The following is a 22,493-nucleotide window of genomic DNA, read 5'->3' as shown; positions in this document are numbered from 1 at the left end:
GCCTTGAAGAAACCCAGAGTATACTGTGAAGCACAGACCAGTATACAAATAAGTACAATAAGAAGTTAAAGTTATTGTGACAAAAGTATATGTAGGGATAAAAATGGAAAGGAACGGTCATTCTACTTGAAGGAAAAGATTACAGAAAACACAAGCTTATTCTTGGCTGAGTTTTAAAGATATGTGTTGACCAGATAGACAAGAAAAGGAGTAAATGCCAAAGTTTATACACACACGTGAAGTATAATGTTATATGGACAAAATGTTATATCTATACACACATATACACACACATGAACTTAAGCAGACTATGTCTAGAGTACTATAAAGATAAAATAAAAATGTTTAATGCCAAACATCAAACCAAAACAATGTTCAAAGTGAGAATTCTTCCAACATTCATCTAACTGTTTTCTATGCTAGCTGAGAATTGCTTTAAGTTCTTGCTATTTTTATGAAATTTTTTCTTTAAAAAAAGCCTACAAAAATGTTTTTTAAAAGTTATATTTAAAACCTAGTTTTATTTTTTAATTAAAAAACAAACAGCCTTACAAATGCAAAGACTTTACGCTTTCACTGCTTAAATTCTGACATTTTTCTAAAAGTCACCTCGTACTGTAGTTCCAAAGCTCAAACATGTTCAAGTTCAATACAAATATACCCTGAACACAATAAATATGGTCTATTTTCACAAAAGTGCTACATGTTGCTAACACCTCAATGTTTTTAATACTGCTTTCAGGTAGTGTATCACATTTGTGGCAAACTATTACCAAATTTATCTCTAACGACTAGCAACATGCCACATACACACACAGAAGGAACAACGCGGGCTTTGTACCTCATGAAGTGTGAGATGTTTCCCATCCTTCCTCTTTGAGTCAAATCTGCCATATATTGCACTGTATTTCCGAATTTCCTCCTCTTTGTGTGGATCATCATCGTTCATCTCAAAGATGTGACCAATCATTTTGGCCAACTTCTTGTTGGTTTTTAGCAGCTCTTTCACTTCATTCAAGTCACTTTTTGGCAGTGTGGGGGCCATCCGCTCCACACACTCAGCCACAGAGAGCGCAGCAGCAGCATCCAGCGCCTCACTGCTCTCCTTTGGGGACGCGGGGGAGCCCAGGTCTGCTGGGGAGAGGCTGTGCTCGCTCTCAGTGGCATGGTGGCCTTGCCAGAGTCTGGACTCACCAACACTCTGCAGTGCTAGGCTCCCAACCACATCTGACTTCCCCTGTCCCAAGCTCTGCACACAGGTGGTGGCAGCACATTTGGGGATTTTTAAATGAGGTTCCCGGGCATTGCTACTCCTTTCATAACTACTGCAGGATATTCCCAGCCATGTTGGTGATCCCTCTGGTAATTTATAGATGGGTATGCTACTGACAGGAAGGGAAGTCAGTGGCTGATTGAAAAGCCCAGGGTTTGTGACCCAGTCTCTCAAAGCCTTCTGCAGCCTTCTAACATGAAGGGGCTTGCTAGCCATGCCCACGAGTGCCATGATTTCCAAAAACTCCTCTTCTCCTGCTTCACAGAGTTGCTGGACATCATCACCACCTTGTTGGATAAAGGCATCAAAATAAGAAAGTAGATTGGCTTTTTGTAATATTCTATACAGCTGCAACTCCCCCAGGGTCCTGGGTAAGGCCGCAGCCATTACTCTGGATGGGTTTAACCTGCCAAAAAAAAAAAAAAAAGTAAAAACTCATCATACTTGCTTCAAACTCCTTACACCAAATAGGTTACACTACAGGTTTTAAGAACAAAAACGAGAAGCATCTGCATCGTGACTGCCTGTGAAGGCAGCATTCTCTCTACATACTTTATCTCATTCTGAACTCCTAAAAACCTTATAGGTCAGTAACTAAACTGACGTACTTTCCCAAAAGAGAATAAATGGTAAGCAGGAATCTGGAGGTTCAAACCAAGGATCAAACCAAAGGTTCCATGTCCCGTATTTTTGGCTATATACTTTGCTACTGCCAAGGTTTGGACGCAGGTGGAGTGAAAGATAGTCAAATTTAGCAGGAGGTAAGAAGCAGAGTATGCTAACCATTTGCTGAATACTTACTTTGTGCCAGGCAATACAATAAACACTTTACATTACGTATGTCTAATTCTCACAATGGCCCTGTGACACAGGTACAGTTATTCCCATTTTATAGAGAAAAAATGAGCAAGATGAGTCTGGCAGGCAGAGGAAGATAGATTTCAGTATGAATTGGAGGTGAGAAATAGAAGGTGTTAATTTAGGAATCAAGAAAGAAGAGGTAGAGAAAAGTCAAACAAGTAACTGACAAGACTTGGTGATCACTTAGATCTAAGTGAGGAAGGAAGTTACTCTTTATTGACATTTATTGATGAAGAAAACAGTTACCATTTATTGACACTCTGTGGTTTAAGGGAAGAGTTACAGGTGACTACGAGATTACATCTGAGAGTTCAGAATTCTAACAGGCACTGGAGACACAGAAAAATGAGGATGATGGGATTCCCTTTCAAACACATGGCACTCGCACATGGCACAGGGTAGAAGGCTTATGTAGAATGGCCCTGCATGCAAAATAATAGACTAGAATCTAACTACGTATCAGGGAGAGGGCTGTAGGATAAAATAAGGAGGGTGGGTGATCACTCCAAAGCAGCAGCAGAAAGCCTAAGACAGAGCCAAGGAAGAAACATACTTTTTGAGCCCAAGCAAGACAAAGAAGTCTGTTTTTAAAGAGACAGAACAAGACTCAGCAAAGTACTTCTTGACCTCTTAGCAGCCTTTAAAAGTTGTTCACAGTTGCCTGGAGACCTCCCACATACAAAGAGGAGTTGGCCAAGTACTTCCATTTAAGAGAAACAAATAAACTTGTTGTAATCAAATGCACCCTTAGGATTAAAAGTACCCTGTAGCCCTCTATGGAGAAAATAACAGAAGGCTAAAAGAATATGTGCATCAGAGAAAAATGGAAGACCCACTCTCAACTCTGACAGTATGCAGCAATAGTTAACTGGGACGTCCCTGAAAGCCAAGAAGTCACTGAACTTGGGACTTTTGTTTTATGCCACCAATCAGAATGCTACACAAAATTCTAGTCTCAGTCACTCCAAGCCAGGAGAATGGGTGTCCCTACCACTCTAAGCACTGACTACCGGAAGTCCCATCTCCTGGAACCTCTGTGTCATCCACATCTGTTTTGACTTCCGCAAATTTTATGTCTCTTTCTTTGCAAGGGCTAGTATGGGCATAACCAGGTTACCTGATGACTTCCCAAAAGACAACAAAGGCTGAATTAGGGCCCAGTAGCTTCTACTAAAACCCAGGAAATCACCTGGGGTGCTTTTGAAAAATACAGTTTCCCAGGTGCCTGAGATGCATCTCAGGAGACTTCCATGATTAGGCAAATATGACACACTGCACAAGATTCCTACTTAATAAATCCTCCGGGCACCACAAACTCCTACAGGTACTGTGATGACCCAGGTAATTCTTTAGGTCAACCTTCACATTCATGCCACCTCAGTCCTCTGGATAAAAACGTTCTTGCATCTTCTAAATCACCTAAAGGAGGCTCTGCCTGTCCTCCCACTCCAGGGAGAATCTATCATCCACCTGGGCACTAACTCACAAAAACAGAGCTCTCAGGAGTTACAGACCCAAGTTTAGAGCTATATTAAACTACACTATACCAAATAGAAGGGCTGCTATAAAGTGTTGGAGGTGGAAGAAAGGACATTTACTTTCCTATCATACACCTCGTGCAATTCCTCCATAGGCTTTCAACGCAATACAGAAAAAAAAAGTACATGTGTAATGTGTATATACATACACATGATCAAAATAGACTGTGGAAGACACAGAAGCTCCAAGACATGGGGCTTCTCAGTAGTACACACACTATCTTTTTTTAATAAGAGGACTGTAACTTTGCAAGGTTTACAGGGTGATCAATTAACTCAGCATATGTGCTCCTCACATTATGGAATAGAGCAGAGATTACATGAGGAAATCTGGAAAAATACTTTTAAATCTTTTTATGAGCAATAAGAAAAAATATATGTTAGACAAATACAAAAGAGAAACTTAAGAACTAAAAGACTCAAGCTTATATTTTATTCTTCTGAGATAAGGCAATGATTTTAGAAAATAATTTTCAAGTTTTATCCTTTCTCATCTTTACCCACTTAAAAAAAAAATGAAACCCCCTAGTTCTTAAGAGAAAGCCCTCTGCATGGGTAAGAAAGTAGTTATGAATATAATATCTCCATAAAGACTGATAGGACCAAGTCTACATTTGCAAAGCCAAGATAACAGATGCAACATAACTAAGTAACCAATTCGGTCCCTGGAGGCTTTCTAGAGGCCCACACTTACTACTGGAAAAGGAGTTCTCCTCCTAAGCTTTTGCTTTAAGAGAATGTTTCAGTTTCCTTCCAAAGCCGGCTGTGATAATTTAAACACCCACCCCTTCATACATGAACTTGATGTGATTTGAAAGAAAACTTTTACAAGATTTTCTGTTTTCATAAAATCTATAACCATTAATGATTCAACATGAAGGTCAAATAAGTCAAAAGAAAGCTTCTACCTGCCTCTCTCCAATCTGAAGTAAATATAAAATGGGTCCTTAACACGTTATATACAGGTAGCTTAGAGTATTGTAAATCCACTCAGCTGAAAACTACTGTTACCTGGGCTTTTCAAGATATCCTGGAACGACCACTCGGAGTCTGACTTTTCAATGAATTCCACAGTTAAGAGAAACCAGTTAACTGCATTCAAAAGCTAACTCGGAGGCCTTGCTGCCAATGTACAGCAACTTCCACTTCCACTTCCATCAGCTTAAATGTTCCTCCCCCTGCTCAGTCCTATAAAAAGAATCCCAATGATGTTAGGGGAAGAGGAATTAAACAATGCATTAATTTAAGACCATTTGTTGTTGTTATTCACTGATCTTTTAAACGGTAATCATTTGTTCCAAAACTTTTTTTAAAATTCACTTTGGCTCCTTACAGGGTAGCATCAGTCACCTGCCAGATTCCAACTGTGCTAAGTGAAGCAGGGAGCTAGTCTGGCCCACAAAACTACCGGTCAACTCCTGTTTCGCTATGGAAAACAAAATTTCCCTGACAGTCTCCAAGCTGGGATGTGAGGATTTTTTGATAGGACAGAGGGCTTTAATTGTCACTAGAGAAAAGAAGAACCATTCCTTCAAACCTGACTCAGGCCAGCTTGTTTTCTGGGCTCACCATTCTATCAAAACTCTGGGCCTCTCTCTCATTAATCTGTCTGCTGCATGGTATCACTCCTTGAGATGCTCTTCACCTTACTTTGGTAATGCTATATTATTTGTTTTTCCTTCTTTCACCTATTATATTCTAAGAATTCTCCAAATTTTTATATTACATCTCTTTTCTATTGTGTGTCCATAATTTTCTTTTGATGATCTCACCCATTCCCAGGCTTTAATTATCACTATAGGCAGATGACCTCCAAATCTGTATTTGTAGCTTGGACAAGAGCCATGGAGTCACTCCAAGTGTTCTCAAATCCAAATACACACAAAGCACCAACTGCTGAGTGAAAAAGATGCCTCTCACACACGTCTACTTTGCAAATGAAGGTAAATAGACACTTCTGTTATTCAGTAAAACTCACTTAACAGTATAGCTGAATTTTTGTTTTGTCTTTACATGTATTCTCAAAAAACAAATACTAAAAGTAGTCATAAATATTTGCAAGTTTTTATTTAAAAAGCTATCCTCACACCTGAAAAGTTCAGAACCATCAGCCCAAACTGTTCTTCTGAACTGTAATTTGGCATTCCACCTGGGCATTGTCAAAACCTCAAATTTGATGTGTCCAAAATCAAGTACATTCTCTCATTTTCTGCCCTTCTTCCAGATTCCCAAGTCTACTCTTTCCAACTCTCTTAGTTCTTTCAGTTGCACCATTGGTCTTTCAGTTTCCCGGATTTAAGTAAGTTTGGATTCCATTTTTGCTTTTTCTTCTTTCTTCCTCAAATCTACATGTCCTTAGGCTACACCACCACTTCTTTCTCTGCCTCAAAAGCACCAAATTCTAGTGTTCATTGCTTCTTGCCCCAATTTTGAAAAAAGCTCCTTCACCTTCAATAGATCCCACACTGCAATGCCAAGTTTACAGATTTGCGAACTTCTCCACCAGTGCAGAGAAAGAAATCCAAACTACTCATATAGGCATCCCAGACCCAAGCCTATCTTTCCAGCCTTCTCTCTGTTCCTTAACATGCCCATATACTTGTGCCAAGCAGATACACTAGGCATTCCTCAAATATGCCTTCCACTTCCCTGCCCCTGTGCCAGGCATCCTCTCTCCCTCCAACCTTCACAGCCTTTCCCAAAATGTCTTTCCCACTACCCCTGGCTGCAGCTGTCATCTCCCTTCTCTGAACCCCGCAACACTTTGTCTCTCTTACATTTTGAACTTATTCAAATAACACCAACAACTAAGCCAGTTCTGGGGAACAGAGGAAAGACAGTCCTTCATGGAGAGTCAGTTAAGAGCAAGGAGAGACAAGAAGCAGAGACTTAAACAATGTGGTAAATGCTGTGCAGCTGTGAAGGAGTCATGGCACAAGGAAGGCAACCTGCCTGGCTCTGCAGAACAAGTCACTGTTAGGTTATAAGCACCCCAAGGGTAGGAATTAGGTTTCATTACTCTTTTATCCCCATTTATTCCTAGCAAAGTTTCAATGATGAATAACATCTCTGGAAAGGTTGCTGTGCAATGAAACCCAATGTCTGAGTCAGAATCTGATCAGCAACCTTTCATATTCCAAAGGGGAGGCCTTCTGTGTAAACCAGTATCTCAATGAATTGCCAATCCAATAACAGGGCATCCTGTTACTTTACCTACAATCCTTTTCATTCTCTCATCCTTAATACTTCTTCTTTCTTAAAAAGCTATACGGTGCACTCCTATAACATGGCTATTCTCCCAAGAAAGCAAAAGTTCCTGCCAATACAGGAACTACAAGTGGTTAGTGTTATACATCATGCAACGAGTCCGGCCCCAACACCTGCCTTTTAAGAATTCAAGTTCAGTCATGAGATCCTAGGTCTTTTTCTTCTCTGTTCCTATAAATTAAACACGGTGTAAGTTATCATCAAATATCTATCTCATTAATGATCCATACACTCAAAGGGATTTATAATCACTATTCTTGCATCTTCTCCCCTCCATGCTATGGGAATCATTATTAGATACACATACACAAACATATATAGCAATACACATATGAACACACTTCCAGGAGTGGGAAGAAACCACGGGCAAAATCCTAGTAAGGCCTGACTTATTTATGCATAAGACTAGAAATTCCTTCCCCCAACACAGCCTGCAATTTTTACTTTAAAATTATCTGAGTTAATAGCAACCTCTTACAGACTTACAAAAAATGTGAAAAACCTTGGGAAGAGTTAAGAGCTCATGAGTCATTTACAGATAAAGGTAAATTAGTTCCATCAGATTGTTTTCTTCTTAACATCTAGACAAGATCTGATGCACATTAATGAAAGATTGAGATGGGAAATGGGGACAATGAAAATAGGAAATCTGAGGACAGAAAGACTACACTTAGAGCCTCTGAAGTATTCCAAGTTCAGGAGAGTATAGCTTGAAGGTACAGGGGCCTGAGAGAAGGGTGAAATGGGTACACGAGAGGCTGAAACAGAAAAGGTTTATAACAAACAAGAATTTGATTTAGGGAAGGATGAGCCTCTGTGTCAGGGGTGTCCAATCTTTTGGCTTCCCTGAGCCACACTGGAAGAAGAATTGTCTTGGGCCACACAAAAAATACACTAACGATAGCTGATAAGAAAGTTTATGCATTTGTGTTGGGCCGTATTCAAAGCCCTCCTGGGCTGCATGCAACCACAGGCCTCGGGTTGGACAAGCTTGCTCTATGCAATTAATTATTTTCGCTTTTATTCTCATCCTAGACCCAGAACTCAAGCTAAAATGATTAAATATAGTTCAGCTACACTTTATGGGTTACTTAAGATTGTAGGGTTGGCCTAGGTACTAACTCCCATGTATGTGTTTCAAGCTTCCAGTGATTTACCTAGGCACACATATTAGTAAGCATTCAGTGGTGTACCATATAAGTCAAGATACTTCTGGATCTTAGCTATGAATTAAATATATACCTTCTAATGAATTGACTGTAATTTGGGAAACTTAAAATGTTGTCTCTTATTGATTCGTTTCTAAATTCTGAATGGAATGAATGAAGCTGGAAAAAAATTTTAGAGACACCTTAAAATTTTAATAAAAATATTCAGTGTGAGGTTAAATTTACTTGCCAAAATTAGAAAAAACTAAACCAGATTTTGCTAAATGATAACTATGTATTTATTCATTTAACTATAGTAACAATAGGCAAATACTAGCATTTCGTACAATGGCTGGAAATTCTTAACCAACCAACCATCAAGTCATTCAACAAACATTAAGTACCCACTGAGCACAGAGTATGCAGGCAATATTTATAAGTTTTTTTCACCTTTTCAGAAGTTTCTCTGTAAAAATCATTAAATTAATATACCATGCAAATTAATGGGTCACCCCCTAAATACAATGTATTGAGAAATGACAAACTCTTTGAAAGCTTAATGGCATGTTTTAGCTGTGTGAATTCTCACAAGATGAGGATTACTATTTTTTCCAAGCATCAACTTGTCAAATTTCCCACTTGCTCCATTATTAAGTTTAAGGAGTATATTCTACTGTTGTATGAGTTATTGAACATGTCAGATCAGAAAGGGAATTTGCACTTAATATAACAATTGTACCATTCTTCATTCTACTGTTGAAAAGGATAAAAGAAGCAGGTAAGATAAAAATAAATCCAAAGCAAAGGGTCTAGCAATCTTCTATTATGCTCAAGTGGGTATTATTTATGCTATAATATGTTTAGCAAATTCCACAATGAAATATGCATAGACGGGTTGATTATACATTAGCATGATCTTAAACTGTTCAAAACATATTATAAAATGGTCACTTCCATCCAAAACACAGCTTTGCATTTAAAGGTAAATTTTACAAAGATTTCATTTCCAAAAATGTACATAAATAGCACTCACAAAAAACAGCTCCAGGCTTGTTATAATGGAATAAATGAGTCCTAAGTCTTAGGCCAATGAAACCTGACATAACTTCGGAGGCTAAGGTGGGATAATCCCTTGGCCCCAGGAGTTTGAGGCCAACCTGGGCAACACAGCGAGACCCCATGTCTATATTTTCTTTAGAAACTGACATACTTCTGTTTTCATCCAACCTGAACTTTAAATATTTAAAGTTCATTAACAAATTCATCAAAGATGTCCCCCAGTTTATAATTTCTTCTTTCAAAGAAGCATCCACAGTGCAAACCCCCAAAATCTTTAATAAACCAATAGGTTCTTAGCTATACCGTGATGAAAATACCTAATGCTTTCAGTGTTTCTCTAACAAGGAGAATAAACATCTATTAACTTTCTCATACGACAGTGGATGTTATTTGCCACTTACAAAAAAGAGATTACTCAACTGAATAATTTTGAAATAAGATGAGATAAAGTATTTTTTAGATAGATCAAGTTATTTACTAGACATATAAGCTTACTAAATGTCCTTGTAACAACCATAGTAATCCTAAGAATTTCTGTCATTTGAATTACATCCATAATTAGCAGGCAGAATAAAATAAAAATCTACAGTTCCTCAATGTTGTCATTATTACATTATTATTGATACCTTCACAAGTAACAAGAGACCATCAGAGTCGGGAAAAAAACATTTTTAATCTCGAAATGGCATATTAACTTTAGTGCAAAATGGTAAAAATAATAAAATTGAAACAAGAAAGCTTCTTCCAGAAGTTCCTTGAAATTTTCTTTCAAGACCTAATGTTCCAATATCTAATACCCAAATCAGGGATAAAAAAGGCTGACCTAGCCAGTCATCTACAAAGACTCAAGAAAACCCTTATTTGTATGTTAATACCGATGAAAAAATATAATCTTTTAAACTTAAAGATAATATTGTATGTCTTAAATGACACCAATATGGAGAAGAAAAAGCCTTTCATCTAAGAGCCACTTTTACTGGCACTCAGATTAGATCAGAAGCAGCTCTTTCAGGTCTTCAGGAAAAGCTCAATCTCCACCCAAAACAGAAAAAGCAAATCCTATGCATCCTCTCTCCTCATACTTCTTATAACCCACACACAAATTATGAAATATCATAATTCAGTATGTTGTTCAGGGAAAAATTTTCAAAAAAGTGAAAACCTAGGAAGGTAAGTCATTGCGTGAACACTTTTACAACAGCTAAGCATTTCCTACGTGACTAATCTATTTTAAATTCGGCTCCTCTGTTCCTATGCAATCTCATATTATCTATTAAAACTGCCAAAATATTTTTAAACAAGATCTGAGAATTCCTCTTTCAGCTTCTGATCTTTGCACTCTTTGAGTTGGCAGACACGTCACTGGCAAACCAACTGGTAGTGACAAGTTACTCCAAATCGACTCTTTCAGATGAAATTTTAAATTAACAGCCATCCCAAAATTTTCCGTGCCTCCCGAATCTCAGGGAGCGAGGTGTAAGTACATGCAAGTCTACGATTCCTCCCGATCACTCGCTGCAAAGCTTGGTCTGCAGAATCGACAAATGTATATTCCATCTCAACTATCCCTTTCCCCGAGATCCTGCAACATTCAGGCTTAACAGAAGTGTCATTTCCTATCTCAAGCTTTGGAAGCTCTGAGTTTGCAGACCACAAAGATTTGATAGTATTTTCAGTGTTTCTCCATGATAAGGTCACACACACACACCTCTATATCCAACGCTTGTATGTCCCACATGTGTTTCCAAATTCCTCATCGGCCTTAGAGACACAAAGAGTTTCTGGCTTCCCTGCACCTCAGCGCCAAGTTTCTGTAAGCCACTTCCATGTAAAACTCTCCTTCCGCTTTTAAAAAGAAAACTACATTCGGAAAGGGAAGATACCCAAGAAGAAAATCGAGACGGTAAGTGCAGCACTTTTATAAAGTAAACAAACAAAAAGACTGCCCTGACGAAGGTGGCTGCAAAACTCTGGGGCCGGCGCGCACAACCCACATCGCACACCCCCAGAGCGCCGTGTGACGCCCCCAGCCCCGTTAGCAAAACGGACTCGGCACCCCAACCTTTCTCGGAGGGAAAATGCACGAGTCAGGGCCGCGCTCCCCGCCGCCCTGGCACACAGAATGTCTCCGGGAATCGCCCACACGAGCCCGGGGCCGCCCTCTCCTTCCGGCGGCGGCCGCGCGGAGCCCGCTTCCCCCGGACACCGCCCCCAAAGTGCCCGCGTGGCCCCGCGACTCAGCCGCCCCAAGTTCGCCCGTGGCCGCTCAGCCGCGAAAGTGTCCCGCACTTGGCGGACCGGGAGTGGCGACCGTCCGCTCCGGTACGTACTCAGCCAGCGGCTGCAGCGGTCTTGGCGCGCTCTCCCCGAGGACTGCTCAGCCCCAACTCCGAAGCGACGGCCCCCGGCTCTCCCTCCTCTGGCGGCTGCAGGAGCCGGGACGCCCCCGCTCCCATCGAGGGGGGAAGGGAAGGTGGTGGGCGCGCTCTCTCTGCTCCCCCCCACCTCGGGCCCGCCGCTTCTTCCCGCCCACCCGCCCCGACGGCGCTCGCTTGGCCGCGGCGGCGGCGGCGGCTCCTCCAGGCTGCGGCGCGCGGGCGGCGGCGGCGGCGGCAGCGCCTCCCCCGCCGCGCCTTGCCCTCCCCTCCCCTGCCTTCCCCGCGCGCGCTACACCCTCCTCCCCCTCCCCCGCCCGCCTCCGCCGCCTCCACTCCCCCACCCCGCGCTGTCACATTGGGAGATTCCGCTCTTGCTACATTCGCCGCTCCGGCTCCCGCCCACGCGCGGCCGAGTGACGCAGATCCCGGCGTGGGCCGCCGCCGGGCGGGGGCGGGGGCGGCCGCTGGGCCCGGGGCTCGGCCCCTTCCCGCCGCCCCCTCCGCGGAATCCGGAGGACGGCCCATTCACACGGCAGCTGGGAGGAACCAAGTGGGCGCCGGGAGTGGGCGGCTCCCGCGAGTCCCGCTCCGGGCGCGGGGAGGGGACGACAAAGAGGGAGACGGGTGGGGAACGCCGCCTCCGGCCTGCTCTCCAGCTGCGGAGTGAACTGGGAAGGTTTGCAATTAAAAAAAAAAAATTATGTGTGAGGTTCCCGATATAGTATTTCAAAGAGCACACCCGCCAAATCCAACATCCTCTAGGAGGCTGACTTTAAAAAAAAAAAAAAAAAAAAAACAACAGCGCGCCGGGCTCCCCTGGCCCCCGCAGGCTCGGGGCAGAGGCGGGGAGGCAGGTGGTCCAGGTGCGCCCCTGCCCGGGGGGGCGAGGCGTCCGGCGGGAAGGCTGCAGCGACCGCATGGAGGAAGGGGCGGCAGGTGCGCGGCGCTGGAAGAACCGGCGGCTGGGAGAGCATCTCTGCCTCGCCCATCTTGCCCCCTCCCCACCTCCGCTCTGGCGTTGGGACGGGAGGAGGAGGGAGGAATGGAACCAGGGAGTCCGAAGTACAGCTTTGACAACTGTCGCGCTGGCCGGGTAATTTAATTCCAACCTTTTTAACCTCCTGAAAATCTGCCTTTTATTTTACTGTTTAATGTTTTTTGTGTCCATGGTGTAGAAAAACTACGGCGCTAGTATAGTGCTGGTGTGTGCTAAATTAGAGTTCCCAAGGCACAATATAGAATTTTTTGGTTTGCATAAACTTTGCTAACCAAAGTATTAAAGCACCTTCAAAAATGTACTTAGGCTGGCCAGGGCTCACGCCTGTAATGCCAGCACTGTGGGAGGCCGAGGCGGGCGGATCACCTGAGGTCCGGAGTTGGACACCAGCCTGGCTAACGTGGTGAAATCCCGTCTCTACAAAAAATACAAAATTAGCCGGGCGTGGTGGCGCATGCCTGACATCCCAGCTGCTTGGGAGGCTGAGGCGGGAGAATAGCTTGAACCCGGGAGGCGGAGGTTGCAGTGAGCCAAGATCGTGCCATTGCACTCCAGCTTGGGCAACAAGAGCGAAACTCAGTCTCAAAAAAAAAAAAAAAAAAAAAGAAGAAGAAGAAAAATGTACTTAAGCTATTGCCAAAAAAATTTTGGAAGTCTGTTTTTTAAATCTATATTTCAATTCTTTGCAAAAAGTGGAAAAATTAAAGAATTTTAGCATTGTGTTCTTGAAGATTAGAGAGCATTCATTAATATAAAACTACTGCAAAGACAGGTAGAATCCCATTTTAACATACACATAAAAATCAAGTTTTATAGGAGGCCATTCCCACACCCTGGCTGGCCTCCCAGAGTGTGCCTACTTCGCTGATGGGGATACAAGGCATTCTTTGAGATGGGAAATTCTTCAAACCACATCTTTATGTTGCAGCAAGGGATAGGATGATGATGATGATATTGAAAGAAAAAGACTTTAATAAAGTACAGAACCTTTTTTTTTCTTTTTGCGAAATCATGTTATAGAAATGAGTAATGCCGCAATGGAATACATATAATTAAAGTTAAATCTTTTTCTTCAGTATTAGTGACAGGTTTTGTCTGGAGTAGTTGAGTTGATATTTCAAATGAATAAGTCTGCTTAATTCCTGAAATTCTTTAACTGCAGAAATCACTGCTGGAAGTTTCTCTTAGTCTCCCTAATTGTCACGGTTTTTGCAGCTGTGGATCCTGTTCTACTAAAGAGAAAGTTAGATGGTCATGTTAAAGACGATTTAGGCAATTTCTTGGTTGGTGGGGAAGGTAATGTTCAGGCAACGAAATCTGCAAAATTCTCTTCTAATTCCTCTATGGAATCTTGATGTTTTGCAAACACTCTTGGTTCTGAAAGCTAGAAAAAAAGAACTTTTTTCCGTAAAGATGTATAATCACGGATTCATGAGTCACGAAATGAGTGGTCTTACCTGAACTATTGAGCCTTCTAGTGGAATTGTTTCCAGAGTTGGAAGAAACAACATTAAATCCTCTTCCCAAGCTTGTCTGTGTCTGGCTGAACATGATGCTGAAAAGGAAATGTGTCAGGACAGATACTTTTTCTTCTGAGTTGTATCTGGTTTCTACAGTTAAACAGTGGAATCTATCCTTGTTTGTTTTCTGGGCACATTTAGATAGTGTATTCTTCCCACATTAAGAATGGCATTTTTGGCCCACTTTACTTTGCCTTAAATGCCCTGTGGTGCTGGGGGAAGTGGTGGGAGGAAGGAAAATGAAGGAAAGATAAAATTTTAAGCTTTTAAGCATCCAATTCTGTATGTCTGTATGACAACACTGTAGTCAATATGGTAGCTCAAAAAGAACTGAAGCATTCGCCTGTATCTGAGTCAAGTCAGACGATGGATTCTTTTTTTCCACCTTACCAGGTTTTGTCACTCATGCCATCCCTAATACCTCCTCCCGACTCCAGCACACACACAGTCTTCTCCCACTCCCACGCCCTGAGGATTTGTTAGAGGAAAGCAAAGAGATTCACATTCCATCCTGGAAGGTAACAATTATGGTGTCTGATTATCCTCTGAAGGCCCTCTGGAAGAGATCAAACAGTTTCAAGGCTTTAGAGTGTTCTTGGAGGCATCCCAGACAGGTGTAAGAATGTGCTAACACAAATAGTTGCCATTCAGACCACTTTGGATATCTTTTGTTAAACGTCCATGCAATAGTTTTGGTTTCTCCTGGTGTGATTTTATTATAAATACCTGTATATTGAAATTATTCATTTATTCAGTACAGCTTGTTGAGCACCAAGAATGTGCCAGGTTTAGGGCTGGATGCTTGGAACACAAAGACAAGTAAGTCATGGATGGTTCCCTGCCCGCAGGGCTTTGCTATAAAACAGTGAAAATAAGGAGAACAGAAGGAAGTCTAAAAGACAAAGGAAAATGTTTTGTCTCTGTTTATAGTTTTGATTGTCTTTTCATGCACTCTAAAAGATGAATATAAAAACTACTAAGGAATGAGACTATATTATTTTTGTAATACTTCGTCGAATGCAAATAGTAAAATAAAAATAATTTTCTTATACATGGAAAATCACATTTCATGTTACATTTCATTAAGAGCCTAAAGGACATGAGTGTAATTTCCAAGAGGCAGAATTTTTTATTCACTGCTGTATATTCAGTGGCTAGAACATTGGCTGACGCATACTAGTCACTTAATAAATATTTGCTGAATAAATGAAATGGAAAATATGAACTAGCAGAATTTTGTATTTTGTAGATGTTATTAGTATGAATTGTATTTCCTAATAGAAGTGTCTAAAATATGTGATGCCTACTTCTGATTAAATATATAACATTTTCAATAAAATATTAAGAGTTAGAATATGTTTTGAAGCAGTGTGTAAATTGTGAAGTAATTTTAGAATGTTCCTAAAGTAATTCATATTAGATTTTTAGGCACAAAATTTATTTTTAAATAAATTACAAAGGGTTAATAAATACACCAGATTCTGAATTTTTAACACCATTTGGAAAGTGGTATGAGAAATATATCAAATTCTGTTTTTTTATTTATTATTCATGTGTTTATTCTTAACTCTATCTCTTGCAAATATCATCCCAGGCTTATTCCTTATATATAAAAGTAAGGGCAAGACAGAGCTACTTCTGATGTCTTAAATAAATATCACTTGTATGGTTTTAAATTTTGAAAACACTTTTTAAAAAATTTGAAAGCCTTCTTGACTTAGTTTTTGTTTTTACCTGTTAGGAGTAGATTTGGGAGAAGCTTATTTTACAGGCGTGTTCATAATTTTAATCCGTGTTGTAGAGTGTGTCACAGTATACAGCCAAATCACCAGGTTTATTTCCCCTCTCAGAAAACCAGATTTCCTCTCTCAAGTTGTGTGTGTGTGTTTTTTTTAACTTTTATTTTAGGTTCTGGGGCACATGTGGTTTGTTACATAGGTAAACTTGTGTCACTGGGGTTCATTGTACAGATTAATTCATAACCCAGGTATTAAGCCCACTACCCAATAGTTGTCTTTTCTGCCTCTCTCCGTCCTCCCACCCCTCACCCTCAAGTAGACCGCGCTGTCTGTTGTTTCCTTCTTCGTGTCCATGAGTTCTTATCATTTAGCTCCCACTTGTAAGTGAGAGCATGAGGTATTTGATTTTCTGTTCCTGTGTTAGTTTGCTAAGGATAACAACAGCCTCCAGCTCCATCCACGTTCCCACGAAAGACATGAACCTGTTCTTTTTTATGGCTGCTCTCAGGTTTAAAAATTAGAGAAAGAGAATAATTTTTTTTGTGCTTCTGAATGGAAGTTGTAATTCATGGAAAATAGAATATAATGTATGCCACTGACAATATACAGTCAGTATATATGACACACCTTTGAACACAAGACCAGTCAATGGTAAATGAACACTGCTCCTTCACATTGTCTTCTGATGGCTCTGTCAAAGTACAGAAGCATGCTGAGATGATTCGAGATGGAAGATGCACGTTGGCATTAAATAGCAGTAAACCACATACTGAACAAGCTATTCCCTTTTCAATTCTTTCAGTCCTTCGAAGGAGGAAATTTAAATTGGTGCCAGTATGTCTGTAATCCTTCTAATACTTGCTGAATTCTGTTTTTTGTTTTTTTTTTACAATGAGGAAACAGGCTTCAGCTCAGAGCCTTGGCAGGCCTCAGTATATAGCTAGAATTTAATAGCACTGTTTTCCTTGTATTTGTTTTTATGGTTATCTTCCATTGAGGCAAATGAGATTCATTATGCATTTAGAATAACGATCTCAAAATACCTTTTAAATACATTTCCTTGAGCAAAGACCCTTAATTTTAAAATGAGGACTATTAAGTAAACTCTCTTTTTTGTTGTTTTTGTTTTTGAGACAGGGTCTCACTCTGTCACCCAGGCTGGAGTACAGTGGCACAATCATGGCTTTCACTGCAGCCTCAACCTCCCAGGCTCCAGTCATCTTCCCACCTCAGTCTACTAAGCAGCTGAAACTATAGGCGTGCCACCATGCCCGGCTAATTTTTCTATTTTTTATAGAAACAGGATTTCACCATGTTGGCCAGACTGGTCTCGAACTCCTGGGCTGAAGCTCACCTCCCAAGGATAAATGCTATTTTAGTGGTGCAAGAAAATAATAACTAACATGTATCGAGTACCTAATAAGTGCTGGTAGCACTTTATCAGTATTAATTCATCTGATCCTCGCAACAGCGCTATAAAGTATGCACTATTATTCACTTCATTCTCTGGTAGAACTGAGGAAACTGAAATATGGGGTACTAAAATTACCTGTTTAGGTAACATGGGAGAGCCAGGCTTTGAGGCCAAGATCTCTGTCCCACAGCCCATGTCTGGACCATTAAACAGATAGCTCTAAGCAGCCAAGTCAGTGCTGGAGGTTTCAGAAACACTGACACAAGTGTTTCTCCCATCTTTAAAACTCCAGTTTAACTTCCTTGAAGATCACTGTGAGCTCCACTTCCCTCAGTAGCTTCTGCTTTCCCTAACTCCCATTCCACTTCTCTTTGGTACCACATGGAAGGCTTATAGTTATTTATGCATCTTTAGTTACTTAATTATGTTCATCCTAAGTATACAGTAAGCCCCCTTGGAAGGAGCAACTATGTGTTATACTTCTCTTGAATTCAGTGAATATATGTTTAAAAGGGGTTTTAAGAAATTGTTATTAAAACTGCTCAATGATTAGTGCATTATTTTAGCATTTGCAAAAATAAGGGATTCTTTTGACCCAAAAAAAAAAAAAAAAAAAAAACCTTAACCATTTCCACTTTGTGAAACTAAAAAAAAGTTTTCAGTGAAAAAAAAAAAATGTAAGAAGTTGGTAGTGATTTTGACATTTGAATGAAAATTTCACTAAAAGAGCATTAATTTATTATTTTCGGAAAGATTTCTTACTTTAAAATGCTTCAGTAATTCCAAACAAAAGAATAGATTTAAAATGTTCTTAGAGGAGAGGAAGAATAACATTATGGCTTATGACCTACAAGATCTAAGGTATAATATAATTCTCGTCTATTATTGCCTCAGAACAATTCTATACTTAACAAATTTTCCACTCTGTGTGGTGGTAGCCCTACAATTAACTGAGTCATGTAGAATATTCATATTACCAGAAATATAATTAAAATTTCCCTTATTTTGCGATATGAAATTCAAAGCTTTGGAAGTGTATTGTAGACTAAATAAACTTTTAAATGCATGGAAATTTGAGTATTTTTAAATATATAGAGATTATAAACAAGTTTCTTAAAGACAAGTTAATAGGAATATATAATAACTCATAATTTCAAGAGCCACGACTTTAAAAGTAGCTGCTCTTCTGAAAAATAAGCAAACCTTTATCCATTGTATTTTATTACAAGATACTATAGAATTTTAAGGTATAAAGGATTATAAAGTTTACCTAGTTCATCCTCTTTTGTATATTCAAAATATATTCAAATACCTTGCAGAAATTCATCATACAACTAGTTTAGTTTCCAATTGCTTATTTCTTTATAAGTTGGTTATTTTGAACTTATAATGCAATCTCTGTTGTAAGAATAAAACAACAACAACAACAAAAAAAAAACCCGAGATGGTTAGGTTCCCAGGATGAGCTACCAGTGCTTATAAAATACAAGTGAAAATACAAGTGTTACAGACTTTGGGGGGATTAGGTGGGATCCTAGAAATCATCTAATCCAATTGACTTCTACAGATAAGCAAATTTATACTACACATTGCTTATAGAAAGAGCAGAAAAGTATATTAGGCAGTAAGTACAACCAAACATTTAATTGACTGAATAGTAATTGTGGTTAAAATTTGTGTTTAAGACAGAAGAAATGTAAATGGAAACTTTTGAAAAGACTTTCTTAAGAGAATTTCGGGAAATTTTTTAAGGATTAGAGCCTTGTTTTTCTTTCTCTTCTATCCCCTATCTTTGGCAACAGTGGTTAAAACTCCGCAACTCTATCTTCTCTTCCCACTCCTTCCCTTTTCTCCCAGCATCCACTGTGCAGGACTTGTATAGTTAACTGATCTGTAACACTGTTTTAGGTGTCAGCCACACTGGCTACGGTCCACTCATTCCTGGCCATTAATAATTGTCTGTTAACAACACAAGCCAGGGTGGAGAGTAGGTTAAAGTGCTCTGCTCCCCATCTCTGGAATGTATTCAAACCGTCTTCCACTGCACACTGCATTCTTGGCCACCCTGTTCCTCACAGTCCCAGCTTTGGCTTTACCCTTCTCCACCCTGTTTGCTGAGATGAATGTCAAGTCTGTGCCCACTCTCCCAGCTCAGTCTCTGGGCTTCTCTCTTCCTCTAGGTCTACACTGCAGCCAAAGGACCCAGCAGCTGGAGTACCCTCCATCATGAGGGTGGATGGAGGATTTTGTTTGTTTCCTTGACAAAGGTGTGTGACTTGTCAGCCAAGATGTTGGCTTTTTCATGAAAGGAGCAAGGAAATAGGAAGAGAGCATGTTAAGGAAGAGAGCCCTTCTTGAAGCAAATGGGCAAGAATTGGAAGGAAGTGGGGAAAGAGGATGGAGATTACAGAAGATGTGTCTGTACTTATGACAAGTAACTAAAGTAGATATAACTATTTTGGGAGAAGTGAAAAGCCAAAGAAAAAGTACCAAGTACAGGGCTCCCCTAAAAAAAATGGAAAGAAAAGGCAGAGGGGGCAAAGAAGAGATCATCCTCACATAAACTCCTCTAAACCAGCCTCTTGACGTGGGACAGATGGGAGTGTTGGGATGGAGTAGTTGGGACAGATCTGCAGGGAAAAGGGGCAGAGAAACAGCAGCCAGTCTTCTCTCTTCGCTTGGATTGCAAGAGGTAAGTGTCAGGAAAAGGAAAGAAAAGCAGAATGGGTTCAAAAACTACCCCAGCACACCAAATACTTTACTATGCTGATTCAGGTAGAATCCTGAGTTGCCATATCACCCATCTAGCTAAAAAAAAAAAAAAAAAAAAAAAAAAAAAAAAAAAAAAAAAAAAATTGAATGTGTTAATATTGATGAGTTGGCGAATTGTCACAACAAATTACCACAACAAATTACTCAACACTGCCTTCTAGGAGCGGATACTTTGAAAGGACAATGCATATATCCTACAATGAGAGACTTTTAAACTACTGAAATACAGATAAACATAGTTCCGTTTGCATATAACTGCAAAGTTACATCTTTACAGTTTGAATTATATTGTCGTGTACCTGGACTTATACATCATGACTCAGCTTACCCAGGACTGGCAATAATATGTGGTAGTCAAAAACTTTAAAGTTTTCTATCTATTATTGTATTTTCATTCCTTACTATAAGTTTCTCATAGTGGCAGAATAAGGGTTTTTTCCAACTATAAATTATATTCCTTAAATAAACTGTTCCAAATAATCACAGTGTTGCAGAGGTTAGGGGCTCATCATTGCTGGTAAAAAAAATAAACAACCTTTAGAACAGTAGTTTGGCAAGTCGAACCAAGAGTTGCAACATGTCCATATGATTTCAGCCAACAAATTCACTTCTAAGATATTATGCTAAGTTTATACATTTTTATTACAACATTATTTGTGAAATGGAAAAAAATAAAAAATAATGTATTAGTTAAATAAGATATCTATATGATGGAATATATTCAATTAATATTTAATAATATTGAGAAATGCTCATAATGTTATGGGTAAAAATAGAACAGAGCAAAACAACCTGTAATCTCTCTACCTAAATAAACATGGAAGGAAATTTACTAAATGTTAGCAGTAATTATCTCTGGGTGATGGTATTATAGATAGTTTTTATTTTCTTCTTTATGCTTTTTTTCAATTTTCAAAAATTTTGGCCAGGCACAGTGGCTCACGACTGTAATCCTAGCACTTTGGGAGGCCGAGGTGGGCAGATCATGAGGTCAGGAGATCGAGACCATTCTGGCTAACATGGTGAAGCCACGTCTCTACTAAAAATACAAAAAATTAGCTGGGCATGGTGGCATGCACCTGTAGTCCCAGCTCCTCAGGAGGCTGAAGCAGGAGAATCACTTGAACCCGGGAGGCTGAGGTTGCAGTAAGCTGAGATCGTGCCACTGCACTCCAGCCTAGGTGACAGAGTGAGACTCCGTCAAAAAACAAAAACAAAAAACAAAAAAAAAAAACTCAACAATAAACATGCATTACTTTGAAAATCAGGAAAAAAATAAATGTTACTTAACAAAGATCCTGCTTCAAAAGCAGTTTACAAATAAAAATGAAAACCAAATTGTATGTATTTATGCACTTGTTTGCAGAGGGCAACAAAAACCAGGAGGTCAACAAAAACTGCGAGCTAAAAAGTATGTGTCAAGCACTTAATGTCATCTGTCCCAAAATTGTTTTTATCCACTTGTTTGCAGAGGGCAACAAAAACCAGGAGGTCAACAAAATCTGGGAGCTAAAAAGTATGTGTCAAGCACTTTAATGTCATCTGGCCTGTATAACTACATGTCTTGAGGGTCTACCATCTGACACATGGTAGACCCTCAAGGCATAGATACCCCACCACACCAAATTCTTTGACCATGCTGATTCAGATGCCATCCTGAGTTGCCTTATCACCCAACTAGCTACAAAAAAAATTGAATGTGTTAATATTGATTTTATATATATTTATAGATATAGAGCTGGCTTGAACTGCTTTAATCTGATGTCACAAATAGTCTCTTTTCCTTATTAATCATTCAAGCATGTATCTCTTTATATCTTCTTAAGGATCCTCCTGTTCCAGGGACCTATGCAGTCCCAGAGCTTTTGCAGTTCAAAATGTGACGTTCACTGGGCTTTCACACCCAGTGACAGAACTGGCATCTGGGCCACATCTGATGCCCTGTTTGTTTGTTCCGGTCCTTGTTTAGCTGCAGAAAACTGGCCCACCAGGTGCCAAACTGGTCCAGTGCTGCTTGAGACCCATCTGCTGCTCTGGTTCCTTAGGGGAGGAGAGCAGAGCCCACTTTCTCTGAGACTGCAGTTCTTTCTTCATTTTGCAGATGCAAGCATCTCCCAAGTGTGGGCTCCAGACCTGCCTTGATCATCTCCACTCAAAGCTGCCCTCACCCCTTCCCCAGGTATCAAACCACCAGTGATGGCTGTCTTTCAGACCCATACAGTAGAAGGGGCCAAAATTTATTAACTACTTTTTGATTTTAAATTTTGCTTTACAATATCTTTTCCGGCATCAGTAGATTTCAAGTGATGCTCATTTCTGTCCTTCCACCCTCTCAGTTTGCCCAGCAGTCAAGGTTCGTTTTCGTCAGGACTATTGACATTGCTGTGAAGTTTCCTGTGGCAGGCTGCCCAGATGCTTCTGTCCAGATCCTCTGAGCACCAAGCAGTTACACAAGGCCCCTCTGTGTGGCTTATTGTCGCCTTCCACTCCCACTCACATACTGTGGATGGATAGGAGTTTTGATGCT

General features: G+C 40.2%; 2 protein-coding genes and 1 long non-coding RNA gene across 51 annotated transcripts in view, besides 5 other annotated features; 1 reads left to right on the top strand and 2 right to left on the bottom strand.

Annotated features, from left to right (window-relative positions):
* NAB1 (NGFI-A binding protein 1) overlaps window positions 1-11,942 on the bottom strand; it is a 43,872-nt gene extending 31,930 nt beyond the window's left edge. For 3 of the 48 annotated variants that reach the window (XM_047444443.1, XM_047444457.1, XM_047444469.1), the window contains exons 1-4: window positions 11,477-11,754; window positions 10,855-11,006; window positions 4,684-4,860; window positions 842-1,679 (exon numbers count right to left, since the gene is read on the bottom strand). In XM_047444443.1, the coding sequence (XP_047300399.1) occupies window positions 842-1,660 (819 nt within the window). In that variant the 5' untranslated portion in view covers window positions 1,661-1,679; window positions 4,684-4,860; window positions 10,855-11,006; window positions 11,477-11,754. The other 45 variants (XM_047444449.1, XM_047444464.1, XM_047444473.1 and 42 more) reach the window with 24 other exon arrangements.
* Window positions 11,244-11,843: a silencer, noted in NCBI's record as "silent region_12184". NCBI's record gives its function as "represses an Ori minimal core promoter by ATAC-STARR-seq in GM12878 lymphoblastoid cells {active_cell/tissue: GM12878}" and the evidence as "EXISTENCE:reporter gene assay evidence [ECO:0000049][PMID:35858748]".
* Window positions 11,854-12,223: a silencer, noted in NCBI's record as "silent region_12183". NCBI's record gives its function as "represses an Ori minimal core promoter by ATAC-STARR-seq in GM12878 lymphoblastoid cells {active_cell/tissue: GM12878}" and the evidence as "EXISTENCE:reporter gene assay evidence [ECO:0000049][PMID:35858748]".
* Window positions 12,052-22,493, top strand: part of NEMP2 (nuclear envelope integral membrane protein 2) — a 227,365-nt gene continuing 216,923 nt past the window's right edge. The window contains exon 1 of the mRNA XM_047441958.1: window positions 12,052-12,617. The gene's annotated coding sequence lies outside the window, so the exon portion shown is untranslated. The remainder of the gene's footprint in view (window positions 12,618-22,493) is intronic.
* Window positions 12,254-12,303: a silencer, noted in NCBI's record as "silent region_12182". NCBI's record gives its function as "represses an Ori minimal core promoter by ATAC-STARR-seq in GM12878 lymphoblastoid cells {active_cell/tissue: GM12878}" and the evidence as "EXISTENCE:reporter gene assay evidence [ECO:0000049][PMID:35858748]".
* Window positions 12,384-12,433: a silencer, noted in NCBI's record as "silent region_12181". NCBI's record gives its function as "represses an Ori minimal core promoter by ATAC-STARR-seq in GM12878 lymphoblastoid cells {active_cell/tissue: GM12878}" and the evidence as "EXISTENCE:reporter gene assay evidence [ECO:0000049][PMID:35858748]".
* Window positions 12,444-12,493: a silencer, noted in NCBI's record as "silent region_12180". NCBI's record gives its function as "represses an Ori minimal core promoter by ATAC-STARR-seq in GM12878 lymphoblastoid cells {active_cell/tissue: GM12878}" and the evidence as "EXISTENCE:reporter gene assay evidence [ECO:0000049][PMID:35858748]".
* Window positions 21,309-22,493, bottom strand: part of NEMP2-DT (NEMP2 divergent transcript) — a 104,691-nt gene continuing 103,506 nt past the window's right edge. For both annotated transcript variants that reach the window (NR_183903.1, NR_183902.1), the window contains one exon: window positions 21,309-22,491. This is a non-coding gene — a long non-coding RNA (NEMP2 divergent transcript). The remainder of the gene's footprint in view (window positions 22,492-22,493) is intronic.

The sequence above is a fragment of the Homo sapiens genome, chromosome 2 (genome assembly GCF_000001405.40).
Source record: "Homo sapiens chromosome 2, GRCh38.p14 Primary Assembly".
Classification (NCBI taxonomy): domain Eukaryota; kingdom Metazoa; phylum Chordata; class Mammalia; order Primates; family Hominidae; genus Homo; species Homo sapiens.
The sequence above is the reverse complement of the archived record's forward strand: the minus strand, read 5'-3'. Positions and strand labels throughout refer to the sequence as shown.